The 26,643-nt window shown below is 45.7% G+C and overlaps 1 protein-coding gene across 9 annotated transcripts, besides 9 other annotated features; it reads right to left on the reverse strand.

Moving 5' to 3' along the window:
• Positions 1,003–1,203: a silencer, noted in NCBI's record as "peak4204 fragment used in MPRA reporter construct". NCBI's record gives its function as "represses an SCP1 promoter by STARR-seq MPRAs in K562 erythroleukemia cells {active_cell/tissue: K562}" and the evidence as "EXISTENCE:reporter gene assay evidence [ECO:0000049][PMID:32103011]".
• Positions 3,585–25,553, reverse strand: DSN1 (DSN1 component of MIS12 kinetochore complex). 9 transcript variants are annotated; one of them, XM_017028070.2, is made up of 11 exons: positions 25,452–25,553; positions 23,215–23,263; positions 22,663–22,983; positions 19,759–19,832; positions 18,559–18,631; positions 14,251–14,302; positions 10,348–10,407; positions 9,877–9,951; positions 7,472–7,619; positions 6,553–6,640; positions 3,585–4,687 (listed from the first exon to the last, which is right to left on the reverse strand). In XM_017028070.2, exons 2-11 carry the CDS (start codon positions 23,246–23,248, stop codon positions 4,578–4,580), a joined length of 1,035 nt encoding a protein of 344 aa, XP_016883559.1. In that variant the 5' UTR covers positions 23,249–23,263; positions 25,452–25,553; the 3' UTR covers positions 3,585–4,577. The 9 variants fall into 9 exon arrangements, with proteins under 9 accessions (XP_016883559.1, NP_001138787.1, NP_079194.3 ...); NM_001145315.2 differs by having other exon boundaries at positions 14,251–14,338; NM_024918.4 differs by having other exon boundaries at positions 14,251–14,338; positions 25,271–25,553.
• Positions 17,360–17,859: an enhancer, noted in NCBI's record as "H3K4me1 hESC enhancer chr20:35393973-35394472 (GRCh37/hg19 assembly coordinates)". NCBI's record gives its function as "activates a minimal SCP1, AML or CMV promoter by ChIP-STARR-seq in primed H9 embryonic stem cells {active_cell/tissue: H9 hESC(primed)}" and the evidence as "EXISTENCE:reporter gene assay evidence [ECO:0000049][PMID:30033119]".
• Positions 22,636–22,801: a silencer, noted in NCBI's record as "fragment chr20:35399249-35399414 (GRCh37/hg19 assembly coordinates)". NCBI's record gives its function as "represses an EF-1alpha promoter that drives an FKBP-Casp9 reporter gene in an ReSE screen in K562 erythroleukemia cells {active_cell/tissue: K562}" and the evidence as "EXISTENCE:reporter gene assay evidence [ECO:0000049][PMID:32094911]".
• Positions 25,312–25,857: an enhancer, noted in NCBI's record as "H3K27ac hESC enhancer chr20:35401925-35402470 (GRCh37/hg19 assembly coordinates)". NCBI's record gives its function as "activates a minimal SCP1, AML or CMV promoter by ChIP-STARR-seq in naive H9 embryonic stem cells {active_cell/tissue: H9 hESC(naive)}" and the evidence as "EXISTENCE:reporter gene assay evidence [ECO:0000049][PMID:30033119]".
• Positions 25,312–25,898: a biological region, named in NCBI's record as "H3K27ac hESC enhancer GRCh37_chr20:35401925-35402470".
• Positions 25,479–25,538: an enhancer, noted in NCBI's record as "active region_17816". NCBI's record gives its function as "activates an Ori minimal core promoter by ATAC-STARR-seq in GM12878 lymphoblastoid cells {active_cell/tissue: GM12878}" and the evidence as "EXISTENCE:reporter gene assay evidence [ECO:0000049][PMID:35858748]".
• Positions 25,669–25,808: an enhancer, noted in NCBI's record as "active region_17817". NCBI's record gives its function as "activates an Ori minimal core promoter by ATAC-STARR-seq in GM12878 lymphoblastoid cells {active_cell/tissue: GM12878}" and the evidence as "EXISTENCE:reporter gene assay evidence [ECO:0000049][PMID:35858748]".
• Positions 25,819–25,898: an enhancer, noted in NCBI's record as "active region_17818". NCBI's record gives its function as "activates an Ori minimal core promoter by ATAC-STARR-seq in GM12878 lymphoblastoid cells {active_cell/tissue: GM12878}" and the evidence as "EXISTENCE:reporter gene assay evidence [ECO:0000049][PMID:35858748]".
• Positions 25,858–26,404: an enhancer, noted in NCBI's record as "H3K27ac-H3K4me1 hESC enhancer chr20:35402471-35403017 (GRCh37/hg19 assembly coordinates)". NCBI's record gives its function as "activates a minimal SCP1, AML or CMV promoter by ChIP-STARR-seq in naive H9 embryonic stem cells {active_cell/tissue: H9 hESC(naive)}" and the evidence as "EXISTENCE:reporter gene assay evidence [ECO:0000049][PMID:30033119]".

The raw sequence follows: 26,643 nt of genomic DNA on the forward strand, positions 1-26,643 counted from the left end.
GTACTACTTTGTTTATGAAAGAGTAGGCAATTAAGAGCATTTCTCTGATTCTTGAGATACAGATAGAGATAGATATAGACGAGGGTCTCACCATGTTGCTCAGGCTGGTCTAGAACTCTTGGACTCAAGCAATCCTCCTGCCTAGGCCTCCCAAAGTTCTGGGATTATAGGCATGAGCCACTGTGTCCCGCTCTGCTCTGATTCTTAAATGTTGGATTTCCATGAGACCATCCAAACTTTCCCTTCTTGCTCTACTGTGGACTATATCATTCATTCTCAAGTCATCAAGAACTAGACATCAGCAACTCTCAAATGTTATTTCCAGTCTCGATTTCTCCACCCAGTTCTCCACCTGTGTTATTTGACAGACCAGTTGATTTCTCCATTTGGTATTCCAAATAGAACGAGCTTTCCCATCTCAAATTGCTCCATCATCTACCCACTGTTCAGGCTTCACCTCCTGCAGCATACTGATACCGCTAAACTTTTATATTATTTAATTCTTACAGCATCCCTGTGATATAGGTTCTATAATTCTCTCAACCTTCGAGATAAGAGATTAAATAAATTTTTCAGTCACAGTTAATAAATGGCAGAGTTAGGGGTTTTTTCTTTTTGAGACAGAGTCTTGCTCTGTCATCCAGACTGGAATGCAGTGGCACAATCTCGGCTCACTACAACTTTCACCCCCTCCCGGGTTCCAGCAATTCTCCCACCTCAGCCTCCTGAGTAGTTGGGATTACAGGCACCTGCCATCATGCTTGGCTAATTTTTGTATTTTTGTAGAGATGGGGTTTCACCATGTTGGCCAGGCTGGTCCTGACCTCAGGTGACCCACCCACCTCAGCCTCCCAAAGTGCTGGGATTACAGGCATGAGCCACCATGCCTGGCTAGAGTTAGGTTTTTAACACCTAGGTTACATGCCTATGTTCTAGCCACTGTGGGCAACACGAGCAGTCCCACCCCACTCATCCACTGCCAACACCCAGCACAAGCTGTCATTTCTCTCCTAGACTCCTGCAATAACCTAACTGGTCTCCCACACCCATACCTTGCTATCTTTTCCCCACACCACAACTAGAGTACTCTTTTAAAAATAAAGTTCTGATCTTCTCGCCCTTTCTTGAAGCCTTCTAATGACTTTCAATTATACTTGTCTCAGGCCAGTCTTCTACTGGTGCCCAGCACTCCTGCTTTATTCTTTTTTTTTTTTTTAAGTGTCCCAGCATGCTCCACTGTCCTCCTCAAGCCTTTGAAAATTGCTTCTCCTTTTGCCTGAAATACTTGCCCCATTTAACTCCTTCATCTTTCCCATGTCAGCTAAAATATCTCTTCTGCAGAGTTTTCTCTTGTTCCTTGTATCGTCAGCAAACTGAGCATCATGAGAGAGAACCCATGTGTTTTTGCTCTTTGCTCCCTCCTCCAATCCTAGAACTGTGTGTGGCATATGGCGGGTACTCGGTAAATATATAAAGGAATAAAGAACAAATGTAGGTCCAAGCAAGGAGATGTCATTTCTCATTAACTGGCACTTGCGCCAAGGTTTAAGACTTAAGATTATGACTGGGTGTTTAACTGAAATGGGATTTGTCCCTTTAGTGGGATCAGAGAATAAGAAACATTTTATTTTGGCTGAGCACAGTGGCTCACACTTGTAATCTCAGCATTTTGGGAGGCTGAGGTGGGTGTATATCTTGAGTCCAGTTTGAGACCAGCCTGGGCAACATGGAGAAACCGCATTCCTACGAAAGTACAGAAGTTAGGCCAGGCACGGTGGCTCACGCCTGTAATCCCAGCACTTTGGGAGGCTAAGTTGGGTGGATCACCTAAGGTCAGGAGTTCAAGACCAGCCTGGCCAACATGGTGAAACCCCATCTCTACTAAAAATACAAAAATTAGCCAGGTGTGGTGGTGCATGTGTGGAATCCCAGCTACTCGCAAGGCTGAGGCAGAAGAATCACTTAAATCCGGGAGGCAGAGGTTGCAGTGAGCCAAAATGGCACCACTGCACTCCAGCCTGGGCAACAGAGGGAGACTCTGTCTCAAACAAAACAAAACAAAAATTAGTCAGATGTGGTGGTGCACACCTGTAGTCCCAGCTGTTTGGGAGGCTGAGGTGGAAGAATTGCTTGAGCTCAGGAGGTTGAGGGTCCAGTGAGCCATGAGCATGCCATGGCACTACTGCCTGGATTTATTTATTTATTTAGCTTGTTTTTGAGCCAGGGTCTTGCTGTTGTCTAGGCTGGAGTGCATAGGCACAATCATAGCTCGCTGCAGCCTTGAACTCCTGAGCTCAAGGGATCTTCCCGCCTCAGCCTCCTGAGTAGCTGGGACTACAGGCATGAGGACTACAGGCACACACCATCAAATTTTAAAAAATTTTTAAATTTTTTGTAGGGACAGGGGTCTCACCATCTTGCCTAGGCTGATCTTGAACTCCTAGCCCCAAGTGATCTTTCCACTTCAGCCTCCCAAAATGCTGGATTACAGGTGTGAGCCACCATGCCTGGCCAGAATAAGAAACGTAAGTAATAAATTAGATGGTGGGTTTTTTTGTGTGTGTGTGGCTTTTTTTTTTTTTTTTTTTTTAATTTTGAGATAGGGTCTCACTCTGTTGCTCAGGCTGGAATGTAGTTCTGTGATCATGTCTTGCTGCAGCCTTGGCCTTCCGGGCTCAATTGATCCTCTCACTTCAGCCTCCCAAGTAGCTGGAAATACAGGTATGCACCACCACTCTCAGCTAATTTTTGTATTTTTTGTAGACAGAGTTTTGGCATGCTGCCCATGGCTGGCCTCAAACTTCTGGGCTCAAGCGACCACTCACCTCAGCCTCCTGAAGTGCCTGGCCTAGTTGGTGTTCTACTGATAATTAATGCAGAGGTATATCTCAACACTACTGTTCACTTCAGCATCTTGGCAAAGAATCCTATTTTCTGTTAAACCCTCCTAGTTTTTTTGGTTTTTTTTTTTTGAGATGGAGTCTCGCCTTTTCGCCCGGGAAAAAGCACTGCCCAGGAGTGCAGTGGCACTATCTCAGCTCACCACAAGCTCTGCCTCCCGGGTTCAAGTGATTCTCCTGCCTAAGGCTCCCAAATAGCTGGGATTACAGGTGTGTGCCACCATACCCGGCTATTTTTTTATAGATATGGGTTACCATGTTGGCGAGGGTGGTCTCGAACTCCTGACCTCAAGTGATTCACCTACCTCGGCCTCCCAAAGTGCTGGGATTACAGGTGTGAGCCACCATGCCCAGCCCTCCCTCTTTTTTTTTTTTGAGACAGTCTCACTCTGTCGCCCAGGCTGGAGTACAAGGGCACGATCTCGGCTCACTGCAACCTCCGCCTCCCGGGTTCAAGCAATTCTCCTGCCTCACCCTCCTATCTGGAACTACAAGTGCACACCGCCACGCCCGGCTAATTTTTTGTATTTTTAGTAGAGACAGGGTTTCACCATGTTTCCCAAGCTGGTCGTGAACTCCTGAGCTCAGGCAATCTGCCCGCCTTGGCCTCCCAAAGTGCTGGGATTATAGGTGTGAGCCACCGCACCCGGCACTCCCTTTTTGTTTATACACTCAAAACATAGATGAAGACAAGGGAAAGCTTTTAATTATGTGCAATTTTATAATACAGATTATAAACAAATAGAACAATGAATAGTAGTACTTACTCCTTTCTTGTCATGAATCCAGGATTTAGGTCAACTCAATATGAAAAACTGAAGCACACTACAGACAACAGGACATAGAGAATGAGTGGTATTTCCTTCAAATTGAACATCTTGTGAAGTGACATATGTATCCCAATGATGCAAATAATGCTCAAAACTTTTTTTTTCATTTTTTTACAATTTTTAATTTTTTTTAAGACAGTGTCTCACTCTGTCGCTCAGGCTGGAGTGCAGTGGCGCAATTAGAACTCACTGCAGCCTCAACCTCCTGGGCTCAAACAATCCTCCCACCTCAGCCTTCTGAGTAGCTAGCACTACAGGCACACGCCACCACACCCAGCTAACTTTTTGTATTTTTTGTAGACAGGGTTTCACCTTATTTCTCAGGCTGGTCTTCAACTTCTGGGCTCAAGCAATCCACCCGCCTCAGTCACCCAAAATGCTAGGATTACAGGCGTGAGCCATTGCGCCCAGCCTCAAAACTCTTCTACCTAAAATCACCTTCAGAGCCATGCTAGAAAATTAGTATCATTCCTTTACAATCGGAATCCAACTTGGCCACTAAAATGTTTCCTTAGACTTGGTCCTAAATGATTTTTGGATTGTTTCAAAACCTGAAAAACACCTTCACAGGATAAAGATAAAAGAATGGGCCACTGGATCTGAAGATCATTTCAAAAAAGAAGTTTGAACTTTCAAGCATTTTGCACATTCCTGGGAAAATTGTCTATACAATATTCATTTGGATGTACAAATTCCATCACTTTTTGAAAAAAGTCAAAGTGTTCTACAGTCAGTCCTGCCAGTTATCTTCAAAGGCAACGAGCAGAAATCACGCAGTCACCACGTGCTGGGGCACTCTTCCCATTCCTCTCCTCTTGGGCACCTTGTGGCAGAAACTCTCATAAAGTCACTGACAAGATCCAGATCCAGATCCATGTATGGCAGGTGGGTTCTGTAGCTGAAGCTTCAACAGTTTTCGAGCTGGTGAGGGATCTAATTGTTGCATGCTTCTCTTTCCTGCAGAGAAAAGAGGCCAAAAAATAAATTTCAATTGAAATAACGTAACATTTATTGAAAACTTAATGTAGGGACATTGTGACACACATGGAAGGGCATTACAAAGACAAATAAGAGAGTCTCTGGCCTCAAGGAGATGACAATTTGGTAAGAATGCCAGCCACAGCTGGGCATGGTGGCTCACGCCTGTAATCCCAGCACTTTGGGAGACCAAGGCGGGACGATTCCTTGAGCCCAGGAGTTTGAGACTAGCCTGGGCAACACAGTAAGACCTTGTCTCTACAAAAAAAAAAAAAACAATTAGCCTAGCATGGTCCTAGCACGATCCTCCAACTACATGGGAGGCAAGAGGATCACCTGGGAGCCCAGAAAGTTGAGGCTGCAATGAGTCATGACTGCGCCCCTGTATTCCACCCTGGGCAACAGAGCAAGACCCTGTCTAAAAAAAAAAAAAAAAAGGGTGGCTCATGCCTGTAATCCCTGTAATCCCAACACTTTGGAAAGCCAACATGGGCAGATCACTTGCGGTCAGAAGTTCAAGACCAGCCTGACCAACATGGTGAAACCCCATCTCTACTAAAAATACAAAAATTAGCCAGGCATGGTGGCACATGCCTGTAATCCCAGCTACTCAGGCAGCTGAGGTGGGAGAATATCTTGAACTCCAGAGGCAGAGGTTGCAGTGAGCCAAGATCATGCCACTGCACTCTAGCCTGGGCAACAGAGCGAGACTGTCTCAAAAAAAAAAAAAAAAAAGAAAAAGAAAGAAAGAAAGAAAGCCAGCCACCACTACAATCACAATACAATGTGATCAATAAGAAGATGGAGGCTGGGAGCAGTGGCTCATGCCTGTAATCCCAGCACTTTGGGAGGCCAAGGCAGGTGGATCACCTGAAGTCAGGAGTTCGAGACCAGCCTGACCAACATGGAGAAACCCCGTCTCTACTAAAAATATAAAATTAGCCGGGCATGGTGGAGCATGCCTGTAATCCCAGCTACTCGGGAGGCTGAGGCAGAAGAATCCCTTGAACCCGGGAAGCAGAGGTTGCAGTGAGCCGAGATCGCACCATTGCACTCTAGCCTGGGCAACAAGAGTGAAACTCCGTCTCAAAAAAAAAAACAAACAAAAAAACCCAAAAAAACAAGATGGTCAGGTGCAGTGGCTCACACTTGTAATCCCAGCACTTTGGGAGGCTGAGGCAGGATGATCACTTGAGCCCAGGAGTTGAAGACCAGCCTGGACAAACAGGGGGACCCCATCTCTACAAAAAAATTAAAAATTTAGCTGGGTGTGGTGGTGGTGGTGCATGCTTTTAGTCCCAGCTACTCTGGGAGCCTGAGGTGAAAGGACTGCTTGAGCCTATCAGGTTGAGGCTGCAGTGAGCTGTGCAGTCATTGTGCCATTCACTCCAACCTGGATGACAAAGCGAGAGACTTTGCCCCCCCAGCCCAAAAAAAAAGTAGAAGAAGAAAGAAAATGAAGGTATGTATAGCCAATAATTTAGGGCTGGAAGGAGGTCAGGAAAAGCTAGGGAGGAGTAATGTCAGTGTCACTTAGTGAATTCTTGAGAAATGAAGAGGGAAAAAGCAATGGGTGGGTATTTCTTAAGTCTTGGATTTACCAAAACAACAACATATTTCATGGGGATTTAATTCTCAGTCTACTGTGCTTCTGTAGAATTTACATCTAGAAATTTCCTATCAACTCTGAGTACCCATAACATACTATTTATTGTGGGGAGAAAAACAAATCACCTCATATAGGTCTTACCCTCTTGGACCATAGGCTTTGAAGGGCAGTTTGTATCCCAAAGGCTATCATGGAAAACAGCCTGAACTCTGGTCCCCTCAAGAGACAAGCTTACCGAGCTGTACTGACACCTTCTGGAAGCACTGGGTACTTTCATCCATAAAGGCCTGCAGCTGTTTCACTGATCCTTGCAGTTCATCCATCTGTAGAAAAAAGACAGCTGTGAGCTGTAAAGGTCCATGGCTTCTTGGATGTTCCTCAAACCTGACAAGCAAGCTCTTGCTCAGGAGCTCTGGGCTTGCTGTTCTTTCAGCCTGGAATGCTTATGCCAGATAATTCTGTTTGTTCCTCCAAAGTCACACCACATTCTTCTCCAGGCTGCTCTATGCTCCAGGAGGCTGACCCATGTAACCTCTACCAACAGGATGCCTAAGTGGGAAGGAGCTGAACGAGTCATCTTGAGTTGGCTCAACTCAGCTAACCATGTGACTTTCTCCCATTAGATGCCACAGTAACTGCTACTCCCTCCTCCCTTTGAGTCCTAGGAGGAGTAAGAGCTCTACTGCCTATAAGCCCCAGGTTACTCCACTAACCCTTGTGGTTCTCCAATACCCATACCTTTCTATTTAGCCTTTCTGAAAATAAACTCTCCTTGAATTGTCCTTTCAAATGCCATCTGCTTGCTATTAATACCTGGTTTGACACAACACTACTCCCTCAAACGTCCTCATGGCTCATTTCCTTCAAGTCTGTTGAAATGGCACCTCAGAGGAGCCTTCAATAACCTTGCTATATAAAATAGCAACCCACCAACCTCCCTATACTGTCTGTCTCTCTTACCCTGCTTCATCAGCATTTACCACTATATATTCATTTGTTTATTATTTTTTAATTGTCTCTCCATGTTTTCCTAAGGTAGAGTTGAATATACATATTCAACTTACACTTATACATTTCTCCAGGTCTTTTAATTTCCAAGGATTACAAGGTGGCAAAGCTGGATAACTCAACTAAATAAACATGAGCCCACTTACCACCAACTCCATACAGTCAAAGACTTTGCTCTGGTTCTGTAATATTTTCTGGTAGTCAGGTTTTGTATTAAGAACTTCATTCTGAGAAGACCCAAGATATGTCATAGGTTCCACTTTGACCTCAGTAATTTTGGCCTCAGTTGATCCTCTAAAAACAAAACACAAGAGCTTTTGAGAGATTCTGTAATTATTTTCTGGAAGAGATACCAAAGATTATCCTATAAAGCTGAATCAGTATTCCTCCACTCTACGCTAGCTATAGGCTCACTTCTTAACAGAAAGGTTTTTTTTTGTTTGTTTGTTTGTTTTTGAGATGGAGTCTCACTCTGTTGCCCAGGATGGAGTGCAGTGGTGCGGTCTCAGGTCTCGGCTCACTGCAACCTCTGCCTCCCGGGTTCAAGCAATTTTCCTGCCTCAGCCTCCTGAGTAGCTGGGATTTCAGGCACCTGCCACCATGCCCAGCTAATTTTTTGTATTTTTAGTAGAGACGAGGTTTCACCATGTTGGCCAGGCTGGTCTCGAACTCCTGAACTTGTGATCTGCCCGCTTCGGCCTCCCAAAGTGCTGGAATTACAGGCGTGAGCCACCGCGCCTGGCCTTAACAAGAAGTTCTGAAACAATTGTCTAGTATTCATGTCTTTATACCTCCGGACTCCAGGAAATGCTGGAAGCTTCCAGTCAGTTGAATCCACTTAATAGTAAGGTCCATATACCAGAAGGACTATACTTGGGAGAGAGTGAAGCCAAAGCTTACTATCCTAAAGTCAGTGTCTATAATTGTTTACCAAAACATGCTGGCCTACTTCAATTATCTAAAATAACTGAACAGGACTGAGAGTTCATGAAAACTGATGAACAACAACTTTAATAACAACAACTACTACAATTTACTGAGTGCTAAGTATATGCCAGATATTACTGGGCACTTTACATTTAACCTAATTTGACACAATAACCCAATGAGGAAGGTACTAATATCATCCCCATTTTCAAATGAGGAACCTCAGGCTCATTCAAGACTAAGTGACTTGCCCAAGGTCACAAAACTAAGGAACAGTTAGAGTCTGAACAGACAGTCTGCTTCCAGAACCATTCCTCTTAACCTACAAGCTTTGCCACAAAAGATTTTATCTGAAACTAGCATCTTACACATTATCTATCTTCATAAATACAGTATGTAAGGGGTGAATAAAGTAACTGATAACCATCATTACCTGGATTGGGGAAATTTTTCAAACCATGCTCCTCAAAGCCCCTCTCTACTGAGAGGCCACTTTTGTAATTAGGGTTTTGACTAACATTTTGTAGTTGGGATTCTAGCTGATTCTATCTCAAAAAAAAGCTTAAAACCATGGTTTAAATGTTCAACTAAATCAAAATCTAGCATTTTCTGGCCAGGTGCTGTGGCTTACACCTGTAATCTCAACACATTGGGAGGCCAAGATGGGCAGATCACTTGAGGCCAGGAGTTCACGACCAGCCTGGCCAACATGGCAAAACCCTGTCTCTACTAAAAATACAAAAATTAGTGGGGTGTGGTGGAGCATGCCTGTAATCCCAGCTACTCGGGAGGCTGAGGCAGGAGAATCGCCTGAACTAGGGAGTTGGAGGCTGCAGTGAGCCGAGATCGTGCCACTGCATTCCAGCCTGGGCGACAGAGCAAAAAAACAAACAAAAAAACAACAAAAAAACACCCAGCCCAGCCTGGCCAACATGGTGAAATCCTGTCTCTACTAAAAATACAAAAATTAGCCACGCATCATGGCAGACACCTGTAGTCCCAGCTACTCAGGAGGCTGAGGCAGGAAAATTGCTTGAACCCGGGAGGCAGAGTGAGCTCAGATGGCGCCATGCACTCCAGCCTTGGCAACAGAGCGAGAGTCTGTCTCCAAAACAAAACAAAACAAAACAAAACAACACCTAGCACTTTCCTACTTTTCCTCTACCTTCAAGACCCAAAGATCCTCTCTTTCCTCAATCTTCCTCATCACCCACTTTCATGTCTTTCTGTCTCCAAGAAGGCCCTGGCCAAGGGCATCCCCCAAACCTGCAGCTCATAGGCCATGTGCTCACTGAAGCCCCTTGGTTACTGTTCTTGGCCCAACCCCAGGCTGCCAGATACAATGCAGAGATGTGTCTGTCTCCCCCAGGATATGAAATGTTAGCCAAGGACACAGAACAGAAACAATTGTGTTCTTGGACTGAAAATAGTGACACCAACTCTTCCTTCCTCTCACTCACTTCCCGTTTCTGGTCAGAGAGTGCTAATACACACTACAGAATTTGATGAGCTTATTGGCCCGTGAGAAAGGATTCATCTTTCAATTTGTGCTAACAGAACTGAAATAAACACCAATCAAACTCCATAAGATTTTTAAAGAGTTTTTACAGTTCATAGATCTAACCTGGACAATATCTCTTTAGCCTCCTGCTGGTAGTGAAGCAAGAGCTGATCCCAAGTCTGACGTTCTAAAGAAAACCTGTAAGAATCAGGAAAAAAAGTTCAGTTAATTTTTATAATCTTATTCTGAATCACTCACAGTAACAATAAGTATGTGAGGTGTACAATCTGGATGTAAAATGTGAGTTGACAGGTCATTACAGGGTTAGAAAGCCTGACCAATTCAGAGAATATTTAATCATATCAAACCTGAGTTCTTCAAGTCAAATTAATATTTGTATTCTCTAGACTCCATTCTATGAAATTGATCATTAGTAGAGTCCATAAAAATCTCAATATGCAGCCTTCTAACTTCTAGTATTGATGCACTAATGCTGACTCTCCAAATACAATGCTTACTATTCATTTTTTCCAAGTTAGTTAATTTCCCCAGATGGGAGAACGAATTTAGATTTTCTAACAAAGGTTAACTTACTTTGTTATGTATTCCTTCATCTCAGCCACAGATGCTTCCAAAGAAAAATCTGATGCTTTTCTGGAAAACAGATAGGATTATGACATAAATCTTTCAAGAAATATTTGCTTTAATATAATCGCTTATAAATTAGTTATTTATTTATTTCAGACGGAGTTTCCCTCTTGTTGCCCAGGCTGGAGTGCAATGGCACAATCTTGGCTCTCTGCAACCTCTGCCTCCCTGGTTCAACAGATTCTCCTGCCTTAGCCTCCAGAGTAGCTGGAATTATAGGCATGTGCCACCACGCCCGGCTAATTTTGTATTTTCAGTAGAGGTGGGGTTTCTCCATGTTGGTCAGGCTGGTCTCAAACTCCCGACCTCAGGTGATCCGCCCGCCTCAACCTCCCAAAGTGCTGGGATTACAGGCATGAGCAACAGCACCCAGCTATTTATTTATTTTTGAGACGGAGTCTCGCTTTGTCACCCAGGCTGGAGTACAGTGGCATAATCTCGGCTTGCTGCAACCTCTGCCTCCCGGGTTCAAGTGATTTTCCTGCCTCAGCCTCCAGAGTAGCCGGGACTACAAGTGCCCATGACCATCCCTAGCTAATTTTTGTATTTTTAGTAGAGACGGGGTTTCACTATGTTGGCCAGGCTGGTCTCAAACTCCTGACCTCATGATCCATCCACCTCAGCCTCCCAAAGTGCTGGGATTACAGGCGTGAGCCACCACACCCAGCCTTTTATTTATTTACTTTTAGTAGAGATGGAGTCTCGCCATGTTGCCCAGGTCTCAAACTCCTGGGCTCAAGTGATCCTCCCACCTTGGTCTCCCAAAATGCTCAGATTACAGGTGGGAGCCACCATGCCCAGAATCCCTTACATAATTTTTGTCTTTCAAAAAATACTTAATGTTGGACTCTATTTCACTTTTCCACTAGGTAATAACTTTCTTTTTTTTTGAGATGGAGTCTCACTCTGTCACCCAGGCTGGAGTGCAGTGGCGCAATCTTGGCTCACTGCAAGCTTCACCTCCTAGGTTTATGCCATTCTCCTGCCTCAGCCTCCCGAGTAGCTGGGACTACAGGCGCCCGCCACCACACCCGGCTGATTTTTTGTATTTTTAGTAGAGACGGGGTTTCACTGTGTTAGCCAGGATGGTTTCGATCTCCTGACCTCGTGATCCGCCCGCCTCGGCCTCCCAAACTGCTGGGATTACAAGCATGAGCCACTGTGCCGGGCTTGCACTAGGTAATAGCTTTCTAAGCTGTAGGTAATAAATAGCTAGGTAATAGCTTTCTAAGTGGTCTCTTTATATTCTGTTTCTCTTATCAATTCCAATTCACATCATGGCCAGATTAACCTTTCTTAAAATATTTCTCTAATTTCTTTTTCTCGTTGCTTAAAAACTCTGTGACTCTCAGCCAGGCGTGGTGGCTCACGACCGTAATCCCAGCAGTCTAGGAGACCGAGGCAGGCGGATTACCTGAGGTCAGGAGTTGAAGACCAGCCTGGCCAACATGGTGAAACCCCGTCTCTACTAAAAATACAAAAATTAGCCAGGCATGGTGGCACACACCTGTAATCCCAGCTACTAGGGAGGCTGAGGCAGGAGAATTGCTTGAGCCCAGGAGGTGGAGGTTGCAGTGAGCTGAGATCGTGCCACTGCACTCCAGCCTGGCCAACAGAGCGAGACTCTGCCTCAAAAAAAAACAAAAACAAAAACAAAAAAACAACTCTGTGACTCTCTACTGCATACAGAAGAAAAGTCAAAACTCCTTAACCTGGCACTTAAGGCTCTCTGTGTTCTGGTACCGTCCAGCTTACCAACTTTGATTCCTACTGTTACCCAATGGCTTAAATGAGTGGGGTAATTAATTCTTATGAAAAAGAAGCAGGCCTGAAAATGCCAAAATATTTTATATGTACTTGGTATTCTACCTCGCAAAAACAAATTATTTGTGCCACCATTCAGGTTTTTTTCTAGAAAAGCCTGAGACACACAGCCATTACCACCTCTGGCTAAGAAACACTAGCCTGTGCTAAAATATACTGCATTAAAAATAGGCCCGGTGTGGTGGTTCACGCCTCTAATCCTAGCACTTTGGGAGGCCAGGAAGGGTGGATCACCTGAGGTTAGGAGTTCGAGACCAGTCTAGACAATACGGTGAAACCCTGCCTCTACTAAAAATACAAAAATTAGTTGGGCGTGGTGGCAGGTGCCTGTAATCCTAGCTACTCGGGTTAGGCTGAGGCAGGAGAATCACTTGAACTTGGGAGGCAGAGGTTGCAGTGAGTAGAGATTGCGCCATTACACTCCAGCCTGGGTGACGAGAGCAAAATTCCATCTCAAAAAACAAACAAAAAAAGAGATGCTACTTTAAACTAAAATGTTTTTCATTTCCTGTCTAGCAATGTCAATCCTAAAGACCTTTGTGAAGTCAAAACCTAAAGTTCATGATGTAAGCCCAAGTGAAGTGACTTGTTGCTGGGTGGAAATTAGGGTGTTAAGGATGTTAGTCTCACCCCTACAGAGGAAGTACCAGTTTTGGGGGTAGTTTTAAATTTCTGCTAATATTCAAGAGCCATGTTCTTTGGCTCTTGGCAAGGTAGCAAAGATGTGAATTATGTTTTTCCCCTCATCTTTTCATGGCTGGTTCCTTCTCACCATTCATATCTTACAGGTTTCAAGCCCAAGGTCAAATCATTAGAGGTCTCTGAACACTCCAGCTAAAGTTGCCCACCCCCTCAAGTCATGATTATATTTACTGACCTAGATTATCGCTGAGTCATTATTTCCCATATATTTGTTTATTGTGTCTTCTATTATAATGTATGACAAAAGAGACCTTGCTTCACTTGTCATTATATCACCAGCATCTAAAAGAGCCTGGTACATAAGACGCTGAATCCGCTGGGTGTGGGGGCTCATGGCTGTAATCCCAGCACTTTGGGAGGCAGAGGCAGGAGGATCGCTTGAGCCCAGGAGTTCTAAAGGCCTCAGTAACATAGGGAGACCCCGCCTTTAAAATTAAAAATAGGCCGGCGCGGTGGCTCATGCCTGTAATCCCAGCACTTTGGGAGGCTGAGGCAGGCAGATCACCTGAGGTTAGGAGTTCAAGACCAACCTGGCCAACATGGTGAAACTTCATCTCTAGAAAAATACAAAAAATAAGAACAGGCAGGATGGCTCACACCTATAATCTCAGCACTTTGGGAGGCTAAGTAGGGCGAATTACTTGAGGTCAGGAGCTCGAGACCAGCCTGGCCAGCATGGTGAAACCCCCATCTCCCCCATCCCTACTAAAAATACAAAAAAATTAGCCAGGCATGGTGGCGCATGCCTGTAGTCCCAGCTACCTGGGAGGCTGAGGCAGGAGACTGGTTTGAACCCGGGAGATGGAGGTTGCAGTAAGCCAAGATTGCACCATTGCACTCCAGCCTGGGGTACAGAGCAAGACTCCGAATCAAAAAATAAATAAATAAATAAAAAGAGAAGATGCTGAATAAATGTTTGTTGGTGAATGAACAACTATCTAATTACAACAAAAGTCCTAATTCTTTTTTTTTTTTTTTTTTTTTTGTGAGACAGAGTCTCTCTCTGTCACCCAGGCTGGAGTGCAGGGGCGCGATCTTGGCTCATTGCAAGCTCCGCATACCGGGTTCATGCCATTCTCCTGCCTCAGCCTCCCGAGTAGTTGGGACTACAGGCGCCTGCCACCACGCCTGGCTAATTTTTTATTTTTATTTTTAGTAGAGATGGGGTTTCACCGTGTTAGCCAGGATGGCCTTGATCTCCTGACCTCGTAATCCGCCCACCTCGGCCTCCCAAAGTGCTGGGATTACAGGCCTGAGCCACCAACGCCCGGCCTAAAGTCCTAATTCAATCATAATTTAGGACAGAAGGGGAACTGCTCTTACCCATTTGAATCTTCAAAACATTTTTGTAGAGTTCCATCAGTTTCCAGTCCGTCTGCAAAATGTTTCAATTCTTCAGAAAGAGAAGATGCTAGACAGCACAAATTTACGTGTCATAAAATAAAGGAAATATACGTTTTCATAGTGAGATGCTGACAAAGGTATATTAAGGTAGTCTCAGCTCTAGGTACTGTTACATGTTGGTCCTCAAGCCCACCCAAAAGTGTGGAGTTAAGTATGTAGAAAGATTTTATCTTTTTTTTCTGGTAGGTATAGATAAAATGAAAGACAACTCATTTTTATCTATTTATTTAGACAGACTCTCGCTCCGTCACCTAGGCTGGAGTGCAGTGGTGTGATCTCAGCTCACTGCAACCTCCACCTCCTGGGCTCAAGCAATATAACCCCCGCCTCAGCCTCCCTATTTGCTGGGAATATAGGCAGCACCACCATGCCCAGCTAAATTTTGTATTTTCTGTGGAAATGGGGTTTTACCATGTTGTCTAGGCTGGTCTCCAGTTCCTTGGCTCCAGCGATTCGCCTGCCTCAGCTTCCCAAAGTCCTGGGATTGTAGGCGTAAGCCACTGTGCCCAGCCTTTATGACATTTATGATAAATGTTTCTATAAATGAACTGTGAAAAAGCAGTTTAAAAGGTATATCTGAGGCTGGGCGGGGTGGCTCACACCTGCAATCCCAGCACTTTGGGAGGCCAAGGCAGGCATATCACTTGAGGTCAGGAGTTTGAGACCAGCCAGGCCAACATGATGAAACCCTGTCTCTACTAAAAATACAAAAATATACCTGGGCGTGGTGGTACACGCCTGTAATCCCGGCTACTCGGGAGGCTGAGGCAGGGGAATCGCTTGAACCTGAGAGGCAGAGGTTGCAGTGAGCTGAGACGGTGCCACTGCACACCAGCCCGGGCAAGAATGAGACTCTGTCTCAAAAAAAGAAAAAAAAAAAAAAAAAAAAAAAGAAGTCAGGCAATAGGCAAGAGGGTAATAAGAAACACGGAGGCAAATAAAAAATTATGGGCATAGCCGGGCATAGTGCTTGTAGTTCCAGCTACTTAGGAGGATTGCTTGAGCCCAGCACAGCTTGAGCAACATAGTGAAACCCCATCTCTTTATTAGAAAAAAAGAAAACCAGGCTGGGCGCAGTGGCTCATGCCTATAATCCCAGCACTTTGGGAGGCCAAGGCGGGCAGATCACGAGGTCAAGAGATCAACACCATCCTGGCCAACATGGTGAAACCCCATCTCTACTAAAAATACAAAAATTAGCTGGGCGTGGTTGCGCATGCCTGTTGTCCCAGCTACTCAGGAGGCTGAGGCAGGAGAATCACTTGAACCTGGGAGGCGGAGGTTGCAGTGAGCCGAGATTGCACCACTGCACTCCAGCCTGGCAACAGAGCAAAACTCTGTCTCAAAAAAAAAAAAAAAAAAAAAAAAAAGAAAGACAGAAAACCAAAAAGGCCAGGCATAGTGCCTCACTGCTATAATCCCAGAACTTTGGGATGCTGAGGTGAGAGTTTCACTTGAGCCCAGGAGTTCAAGACCAGCCTGAGCAACACAGCAAGACCCCATGTCTACAAAAAAATTTTTTTTAGAAAGTTAGCTGGGTGTGGTGGCACATGCCTATAGTTCCAGCTACTTGGGAGGCTGAGGAAGGAGAAATGCTTGAGCCTAGGAGATCAAGGCTACAGTTAACTGTGATCATGCCAGTGTACTCCAGCCTGGGCAACAGAGCGAGATCCTGTCTCAAAAAAAAAAAAAAATTATGGGCGTAAGGTTAAAAACAGGCCTCTGCTAGACTTGAAGAGTCCACTACTACATTCAGGTGAAGAACACTAAGGGGAAAGGCTATGTTAATTAGTTATCAGGATAATCCTAGCATATCTACTTTAATTAAGGTGATGGTACAATTCTGAGATAAACAATTTTAACTGGCAAGTAAGCCCAAGTTCATGTATTTTCTAGATCTTTTAAGTGGGTAAACTTGAGTATTTCTGACCCTGGATAAGTGTATATTTACACTATTAGCAGAATAGGTACTTCCTAGAAAGTTCAATCATTAGTATTTTATTTCACAGACAACTAGCTAACTGCCTCGTAATATGAAGAGTTCCTACCAATCAATGTAAAAGAGCCACCATCCTAAGTTTTAAAAACGAACATGAGGCTGAGCCATGGTGGCTCGCGCCTATAATCCCAACACTTTGGGAAGCTGAGGTGGGTGAATCACCTGAGGTCAAGAGTTTGAGACCAGCCTGGCCAACATGGCGAAACCCTGTCTCTACTAGAAATACAAAATTAGCCAGGCATGGTGGTGCATGCCTGTAATCCCAGCTACTCCAGAGGCTGAGGCAGAAGACTCGCTTGAACCCAGGAGGTGGAGGTTGCAGTGAGCCAAGATCGCACCACTGTACTCCACCCTAGGAGACAGAGTGAGACTCCATCTCAAAAAAAAAAAAAGAAAGAAAGTACAAATGGCTCTAAAAATATGAAAAAAGAAAAAATGCTTATCTTCTTCAAAAGAAAAAGGAACACAGATTAAAACTACAAAATATCTTCTATCACCTATCATATAGTAAGAAAATCTAAAAGGCTTTTTTATTGGTGAGAGTGTAAGAAAACAAGTCCCTACATGTATTGCTGGTGAGAGAATAAATTGATACCACTTGTCTGGGAAGCAATCTGGTAATTCCCATAATTTCATTTGAACTAGTTAATTCCAATTCTAAGAATTTATCTTCTTTTTACTTGCATACGTGCCAAAAGGCTTGTGTTAAAAAAAAAAAAAAAAAAAAAAAAAAGGCCAGATGCAGTGGCTCATGCCTGTAATCCCAGCACTTTGGGAGGCCAAGGTGGGCGGATCACCTGAGGTCGGGAGTTCGAGACCAGCCTGACCAACATGGAGAAACCCCGTCTCTACTAAAAATACAAAATTAGCCCGGCGTGGTGGCACATGCCTGAAATCCCAGCTACTAGGGAGGCTGAGGCAGGAGAATTGCTTGAGCCTGGGAGGCAGAGGTTGCAGTGAGCCAAGATTGCACCACTGCACTCCAGCCTGGGCAACAAGGTGGCTCACGCCTGTAATCCTAGCACTTTGGAAGGCGGAGGCAGGCGGATCATGAGGTCAGGAGATCGAGACCATGGTGAAACCCCGGCTCTACAAAAAATACAAAAAATTAGCCGGGCGCAGTGGCCGACGCCTGTAGTCCCAGCTATTCGGGAGGCTGAGGCAGGAGAATGGCATGAACCCGGGAGGCGGAGCTTGCAGTGAGCCGAGATCCCGCCACTACACTCCAGCCTGGGCGACAGAGCGAGAGTCTGTCTCAAAAAAAAAAAAAAATTCATTACATTATTTACTGTAGTAGCAAAAGACTAAAAAAAAAAAAAAAAACAAAAAACAACACTTAAAGCCTATTAGTAAAGAACTAGTTAAATCCAGGCCGGGCACAGTGGCTTGTACCTGTAATCCCAGCACTTTAGGAGGCCAAGGCGGGCGGATCACCTAAGGTCAGGAATTAGAAACCAGCCTGGCCAACATGGCGAAACCCCGTCTCTACTAAGTATACAAAAAATTAGCTGAGCGTGGTGGTGGGTGTCTGTAATCCCAGCTACTCAGGAGGCTGAGGCAGGAGAATCGCTTGAACCCAGGAGGCAGAGGATGCAGTGAGCCAAGACTGTGCCACTGTATTCCAGCCTGGGTGACAGAGCCGCGACTCCATCTCAAAAAAAAAAAAAAAAAAGAAAAAAAAAGCAATAAATATTTCTGCAAGGATACACAAGAAACTGGTGGCCATAGCTACCTTTGGGGAGAGGAACTTAGACTGGGGGCCAGAATGGAAGGGAAGATTATTTTCCACTTTCACACTTCCTTAGCTTCATAAGCATGTATTCTTGCAATTTAAAAAAAGTAGGGGGCTGGGCACAGTGGCTCATGCCTGTAATCCCAGCACTTTGGGAGGCCAAGGTGGGCAGATCACTGAGGTCAGGAGTTCAAGATCAGCCTGGCCAACATGGTGAAACCTCTTCCCTACTAAAAATACAAAAATTAGCCAGGTGTGGTGGCTCCCAGCTACTCGGGGGGCTCAGGCAGGAGAATTGGTTGAACCCAGGAGGCAGAGGCTGCAGTGAGCCAAGATCACCCTACTGCACTCCAGTCTGGGCAAGAGTGAGACTCTGTCTAAAAAACAAAAGGTGGGGGAGCTAGTTTTATAAGGGAGCAGCTTCTGTAAATGGGGATGCTGTGAGCAAAGCTTTGACTGCCCAGGGTCAAAGCTCACTCATCTGTTAGCAACTTACCTTTGGCTCTAAAACTTTCAAGACTGAAGCCCTTAGTGTCCCTTAGGAAAGGTTCAAGTTTCTGAATAGAGAACTAAATAAAGAAAAGCATTTTTAGTACAACCACCAAAAACTTCCAGGCCAGTCCTAAATTTATGTCATTTTATGATGTTTAATAAATATGAAACTAAATACTAAATATGATGTAATTTTTACACATAAGACTTTTCACAGAAACAAATAAATAGATAAGGGAAAAAAAAAAAACTCTTTGTTGACCAGGCACAGTGGCTTACGTCTGTAATCCCAGCACTTTGGGAGGCTGAGACAGGCGGATAATAAGGTCAGGAGATGGAGACCATCCTGGCCAACATGGTGAAACCCCATCTCTACTAAAAATACAAAAAAAATTAGCGGGGCATGGTGGCGCGTGCCTGTAGTCCCAGCTACTCGGGAGGCTGAGGCGGTAGAATCGCTTGAACCTGGGAGGCGGAGGTTGCAGTGAGCCGAGATTGTGCCACTGCACTCCAGCCTGGTGACAGAGCAAGACTCCGTCTCAAAAAAACAACAAAAAACAAACAAAGAAAAAACAAAAGACTTTTTGTTGCTTGGACTACAGATTTTGACTTTCGGTTCAGGAAAAAAAAAAGGTTATTTAATTCACACAAATTACCTGCTTATCTAAATTGATGTAAGCACCTGGTAGCCACATAATACACAATACACCTTAAAAAAAGGCTGGGCACGGTGGCTCACACCTGTAATCCTAGCACTTTGGGAGGCCAAGGTGGGTGGACTGCCTGAGCTCAGGCATTCAAGACCAGCCTGGGCAACATGGTGAAACCCCGTCTCAACTAAAATGCAAAAAATTAAGGGCTGGATGCGGTGGCTCATGCCTGTAATCCCAGCACTTTGGGAGGCCGAGGCAGGCGGATCAGGAGGTCAGGAGATCGAGACAATTCTGGCAGACATGGTGAAACCCTGTCTCTACTAAAAGTACAAAAATTAGCGGGGCGTGGTGGCATGTGCCTGTAGTCTCAGCTACTCGGGAGGCTGAGGCAGGAGAATCACTTGAACCTGGGAGGCGGAGGTTGCAGTGAGTCAAGATCATACCACTGCACTCCAGCCTGGGTGACAGAGTCAGGCTCCATCTAAAAACAAAAGATTGTCACAATAGCAGTTAACAAACACAAAAACATTTCCTAGTTATAAGAACCTTACCTGGAAACTGGAAAGCAGGAGACAGCCAAGCCGTTTGCTTTCTGCTAAATCGACACTGATAGACCGGCTGAGCTCTAACATAAAACATAGCCACATTTAAGGAGCTGGATAGTTACATAGTTAGCAACTAACAAAACTGAAAAATGTCCTCCCTCTTGATAAATCCAACTTAAGGCAAGAACAGCCTTCTTTAGTTAAAGACAGAATTCTAATTTTTGCAGGATCACTGAGGAATGAAGTTTACCCATTTGTTCATCTAAACTTAAAAAAAAAAAAGTTATAAGAATCTTTGTATTGGGCAGGTACGATGCTCATGCCTATAGTCCCAACACTCTGGGGCCGAGGCATGGGATCACTTGAGACCACGAGCTGGAGACTAGTCTGGACAACATGGTGAAATCCCGTCTCTACTAAAAACAGAAAAATTAGCCAGGAGTGGTGGCATGCGCCTGTAATCCCAGCTACTCCAGAGGCTGAGGCATGAGAATCAAAAGGGCTCAGGAGGCGGAGGCTGCAGTGAGCCAAGAGGTTGCAGTAGCTGAGATTACAGGCATGCGCCACCACACCCAGGTAATTTTTTGTATTTTTAGTAGAGACAGGGTTTCCCCATGTTGGCCAGGCTGGTCTTGAACTCCTGGCCTCAAGTGATCTGCCTGCCTTGGCCTTCCAAAGTGCTGGGATTACAGGTGGGAGCCACTGTGCCTGGCCACATCTGAGCTTTTTTATAGGACAGGCACTGCAATGTGCTTTAAACACTCTGTACTGTATACTATAAGAAGAGTACTATTATAAAGTTCCATTTTACAAATGGGAAAACTGCAGCTCTGAGGGGAAATGACTTGCTTGAGGCCAGAAACTGGAAATCGGTGGAGCCAGAATTCAAACCCAAGTCTCTCACCGATATCTGTGTTTTTCCCTCTATTACCACACTGCCTCTCTATAATGACCTCATAATAGCATTAATAACTAACATTTGTTGAACACTTGCTATATAAAAAGCATTTTATGAAATGCTATATACGTATTTCATTAAACCTTGAGGCAAGTATCCTATGAATTCCATTCAGATAACAGATAATGACACAGGCACAAAGTAATAGGTCACTTGCCCAAGGTCATAGAGTGAGTTATTAGACTGAATTGGGTGAGCATTTTACATAATTATGCAACTGAATCCCTAACCAATCGCAAGATGTAGATACCGTTTTTTAAAATTATGTCCACTTGTAAACAATTACTACATAGCAAAGGAATTTTGCTTTGTGAATTATGAGAGCTACATGTCTTTTTGCCCTCTAGCTTCAGCTGGTTGTGTTTTTAAAGTTCTTGTCTCTTAATTGTCACTGCTGTTAGTCAAGAAAAACAGGATACTTTCTGCCTATAACCAAGGAAACCTGACAGGTTGCCAGAAATAACCAGGCAAGAACCAATCTTATTACACTGATGCTTTTCTGTTTAAGTCTAAATACTCCGGCATAGAGCTAAAGGTAGGGCTAATCTTGGGATGCACTGATGTTTTCTCAGCACATTTAGGGACTAAAGTACATGGGCCTTGTGGCAGCAATTTTCTGATGTGCTAAGTGCCTATCTTTACCCAGATTTCCTTCTGTGCATCAGACCACTTGGAAATAGGACGATACCTTAAAACTAATCACAGTAGCTTAACATTTCAGGGCTTACTATGTCCCAAGTACTGTGTTATGTAAGATAGGTACTATTTCATCTCCAAGTTGCTGATGAGGACCTTAAGACAAAGAAGGTTAAGTAATTTACTCAACATCACAGAGCTAGTATAGTCTTCCTGAAATATGCAAGCTTTTCCACGTTATGTTCTGTACTTTGATGCTAAGATATAGTTACTATTGTAAATTCACACAAAATGACACAAATCACGTTCTGTATAGCATCCCTAAAAACTGTTTTTCACTGTAGATACACACACACACACACACACACACACACACACACACACAGAGAGAGAGAGACAGAGAGAGAAAGAAAGTGAGGCGGGGGTGGGTGGGGTGCAGGGAGGGAAGAGGGAAGGGAGAGGGGTGGGGTGCAGGGAGGGAGGAGGGAAGAGAGAGGGGATAGGGAAAAAGAGACAAAGTTTTTTAGAGACAGGGGTCTTACTTTGTCACCCAGGATAGATTGAGTGGCGCAATCATAGCTCACTGCCTTCTTGAATTCCTGGGCCCAAGTGATCCTCTTGCCTCAGCCTCTCTCCAGTAGCTGGGACTACAGGTACGTGCCACCATGCCCTGCTATTTTTTTAAAAACTTTTTGTAGAGATGGGGTTTTGCCATCTTGCCTAGGTTGTCCTCAAACTCCTGGACTCAAGCAATCCTCCTGCCTCCCAAAGTGCTGGGATTATAGGCATGAGGCACCGTGCCTGGCCCACTCTAGATATTTGTATGTGCATCTTCCCTCTGAGGTATTTCCAGTTATAAAGGCTAAAATCAGGTATCAACCCAACTATCTTCTGCTCCACTTTAGGGTATGAGACAGAAAACCACAGAAAGAAATCTTTAATGTTTCTCACCCTAGCAGAGGTGAGTATTGAACAATTAGAAATTTATTTGTGGCAGCTAATAATATAATATAAGTAGTAAGCCAGGTGCAGTGGCTCACGCCTGTAGTCCCAGCTACTTGGGAGGCTGAAGTGGGAGGATTGCTTGAGCCCAGAAGTTCAAGTCCAGCCTAGACAAAACAGCAACATCCTGTCTCTTAAAAAGAAATAGCAGTAATACTGAACATTTACTAGGTGTTTGACATCAGTACTTATAAAGTAGCAAGTCATGTCTATTCTCCCACACTTTCTGCCATACCTCACTGCCTCTTATCTGAGCTGGAACCTGTCTCTTATCTGAGCTGGAACCTCACTGTCTTGTGTACACAGCACCCCACCTGTGATGCCCTGGTGAATGGGATGCAGCGACTTCCGCCGGTTCGTTTCTTTCATACTTGCTCGCCGCCAGGATTGCCTCCTGTCTTGATAACTGGCAGATTGTTCTTGAGGAGACAAATGAAGGGACTTCGACTGAAGTCTTTCCTGGTGGCTGAGATCACAATTTCCCCCTTTTTTAGGGCTAGAGCCAAGGTGAATTCTTTCCTCTGAAACGCCTTGATTCATCTCCAGGGAGGCAGATGTTTTAGCAAACACTTCCACAGGACTGAGACTTGATTCCAATTGATGATCATGAGTCTTAGACATCACTGGTCCTTTTTCTAGTATTTGTTATAAAAAAGTCAAAATACAAGATCAAGCCCGCCACAACTATTTGTGCAAAAAAGTGGAAAAAGTAAATGTATGCCCCTAGATCGTGGAAACATAAAGAAAGCATCTCTGCAAATAATGAGTATGTGATTCCAAATCTACCAGGAGCCAGGAAAGATTTGGGTATAGCTCAGAAGCCTGAACCCAAGGTAAGAGGTACTGAATTTCACTACAATACTTACCATCTATGATCTCTGATCTAGTCACTGAAGTCATCCTAGGTGGTAAACTCTGAAAATAGGAAAATGGAAGTGATCTGTTCTTCACGTTTCACTGCAGTCTCAATGGGGCTTTACAGCCCCAGAATAAATAGGCCGTGTGCTTTCCAGCCTCTCTGAGCTACCCTTATCCACCTCCCTGACAGAGAATATCAGCAGGGGCCATCACCTCCTCTTCTGAATTTCTATACACTTTATTGCTAGAAATATTCAAATCTCCCTGAACACATACCCTACCTTACTTCCCAGTTACTTTGTGTTTAACTAGTCCCTAATTCCATTGATGACATTATGGTCTACCTGGTCTTCCAAACTAGAAAAACCACATCATCCATTACTTCTTATTCTTAGTTCTCCAGATCCAAAGTCCTAACTGTTTTATAAACAGTCTCTAAATCTTTTCTCCATTCTCACTGTTACTAGTTTATTTATTATTTTGAGACAGGGTCTTGCTCTGTTGCCCAGGCTGGAGTACAGTAGCACAATCTTGGCTCACTGCAACCTCCTCCTCCCCAGTTCAGGTGATTCTCCTGCCTCAGCCTCCTGAGTAGCTGGGATTACAGGAATGCACCACCATACCTGGCTAATTTTTGCATTTTTAGTAGAGATGGGGTTTCCCCATGTTGGCCAGGCTGGTCTCAAACTCCTGGCCTCAAGTGATCCACCAGCCTAGGCCTCCCAAAGTCTGGGATTACAGGCGTGAGCCACCACGCCCAGCCTCACTGTTACTAGTTTAGTTCAGGTCTCATAATTTCTGGTCCCTCCCACTATCTTAATAGTCTCTCCACTAGTTTTTCTACCTCCAACGGCCCGTCTCCAGTCTATTCTTTGTTTTTGTTTTTTTTTGAGGTGGAATCTCACTCTGTCGCCAAGGCTGGAGTGCAGTGGCGCAGTCTCGGCTCACTGCAACTTTCACCTCCCAGGTTCAAGCAATTCTCCTGCCTCAGCTTCCTGAGTAGCTGGGATTACAGGTGCCTGCCACCACACCTGGCTAATTTTTGTATTTTTAGTAGCGATGGGGTTTCCCCATATTGGCCAGGCTGGTCTCGAACTCTTGACCTCAGGTGATCCGCCCGGCCTCAGCCTCCCAAAGTGCTGGGATTACAGGCCTGAGCCACCACACCCGGCCCAGTCTATTCTTCAGACAGTTGCCGGGACTTTTCCAAAGTGTAGTCAACACCTCAGGTAAACTAGTCCCAATTTACCCATTCCTGCTCTCTCCTCCCAGTCCTATTCCCTGTACTACTTCTGAATCTTTGCACATATCTGTCCTTCTACCTGTTAAACTTATTCATCCTTCCCAACCTGGCTCAAATATGAAGCTTTCACATCACTTATCTTTGGCAGAGTTGGTGGTTATGCCCCTTGGCCTTCGTAGCATTGGCTATAAAATCTGTTTACATGTCTGTCTCCCCAGCCAGGCTGTATTTGTATTCCTAGTGACTGTCAGGAACAACTGCCTGGAAGGCAGGGATGTCACCTAGGCATCTCTTCATCGTCCCCTCCCTCCCAGCAGAAATCTGTCTGTGGGGGGTGCTAAGTAAAAAGATATGAATATATGCAGAGGGACAAAAAGGAAAAGATAACAAGGAGGGCTCGGTCAAGGATCTGAATCCCCCACGGTCCTTATGACAATATCACACAAATCCAGGCTTGGATAATAACGACTGTATCACACAGATCCAGGCTTAGAAAAGCAACAACTGTCAACTGTTAAACGCTTATTCTGTGCTAGGACCTGTGCTATGTAAGCGCTTTACTTGCATCGTTATTCCACTTAATCCCTTCCACAACTCCGTAAGCACCATTAACTCCACTTTGCAGACAGGGGAACTGAGGTTCAGAGGGGCAAAAAGCCTGGCCCAAGCTTGTGACACAGCCAGCCTGGGGGCACAGGGGCAATTCGAACCCCAGCCCTCTACCCAGTCCTCACCCCTGTTTCTGGAGCCTAGACCCCTGGCACGGCAGATACGTCTCTAATGGGGTCGGTAAGGGGGACTGCCCTCGGGTTTCATTTCACCCGGGAGGAGGTCGCAGCGCCCTCGGGGACCCCCAGTGTCCACGGTCGGGGCCGGGGCTGCGGCGGGTCGAGCTGGGCCGACGGGTACGACGCCGAAGAGATTAGTGCGGCGGCGGGCGGGGCCACATCAGAGGACAAGTCTGTGACTTCCTGACGCCCGTCCAGTCCGGAACCTCCGTACCTGAAACACAAGGCCACGGGTCGCTCTCCACAGCCCCAGGTCACTCCTGGACGCCTTGCGCACCCGCAGCCGATACTCCCTGATCAGGGTGAAGCGGTCTCCACCTTCTACGTCACGGTCACCGCCTCCGAAACTCCCGCCAACCAAGGGCGCATGCGCGGCCGTCAGTTTCTCGGGCACGCGCGCGCAGAACGCCTGCCTCCGGCGATGCACATGCGTACACCGCCGCCCGACGCGCATGCGTACACCGCCGTCCAACGCTCCTGCCAGCTCCGCTCCTCTAGTCCAAGTCCTTTAGGTCCTGTCTGGCCACGTCACCACCTCCCCGCAACACCCCGCCCGGGAGTCCCTTTCCGGGACCCGCCACACTATCGTGTCCTTTTGCGCCCGACGGCCCCAGAGCCCATCTAAGATGGGGGAAACAGAGGCCCGGAGAGATTCTTGCCGGAGGAATACAGCGCCTCAAAGGGCATCTGATGCCCTGTCCCCGTCGCTAGGCTCTGGTTCCCACTCCCTTTATCTCCTTAACTCCCAAAATGTGGACCGTGACTCTCCCCAGGGTGGACTGGAGCTCTGAGCTCAGTTTGCCTCACAGTCTATCCCACTCCTGCTCTAGGACTTTTTCTCTCTCATTTCCAGGCCACTCCCTCAAACGGCTTGCTTTACTTGCTTGGTGGGTGGGGGCCTGCCCTCGGGTTTCATTTCACCCGGGAGGAGGTCGCAGCGCCCCCAAGTGGTCGCAGTGTCCTTAGTCGGGGTCGGGGGGTGCGGCAGGTCGGGCTGGTCCTTAGGGGTAGGACGGGGACAGGGCATCAGATGCCCTTTGAGGCGCTATATTCCCAGGCGCTGTTCCCTCTGCCTGGGAAGGCTTTCCCTGCTTTTCCTAGCTACATCCTCCAATTTTTTTGTATTTTGAGACGGAGTCTCGCTCTGTCGCCCAGGCTAGAGTGCAGTGGCGCGATCTCGGCTCCCGGCAACCTCCGCCTCCCGGGTTCGGGTTCAAGCGATTCTCCTGCCTCAGCCTCCCGAGTAGCTGGGATTACAGGCGCCCACCACCACGCCTGGCTAATTTTTGTATTTTTAGTAGAGACGGCCACTAAAAATGTTGGCCAGGCTGGTCGCGAACTCCTGACCTCAAGTGATCCACCCACTTCGGCCTCCCAAAGAGCTGGGATTACAGGCATGAGCCACT

Source organism: Homo sapiens, chromosome 20 (genome assembly GCF_000001405.40).
Source record: "Homo sapiens chromosome 20, GRCh38.p14 Primary Assembly".
Lineage (NCBI taxonomy): Eukaryota > Metazoa > Chordata > Mammalia > Primates > Hominidae > Homo > Homo sapiens.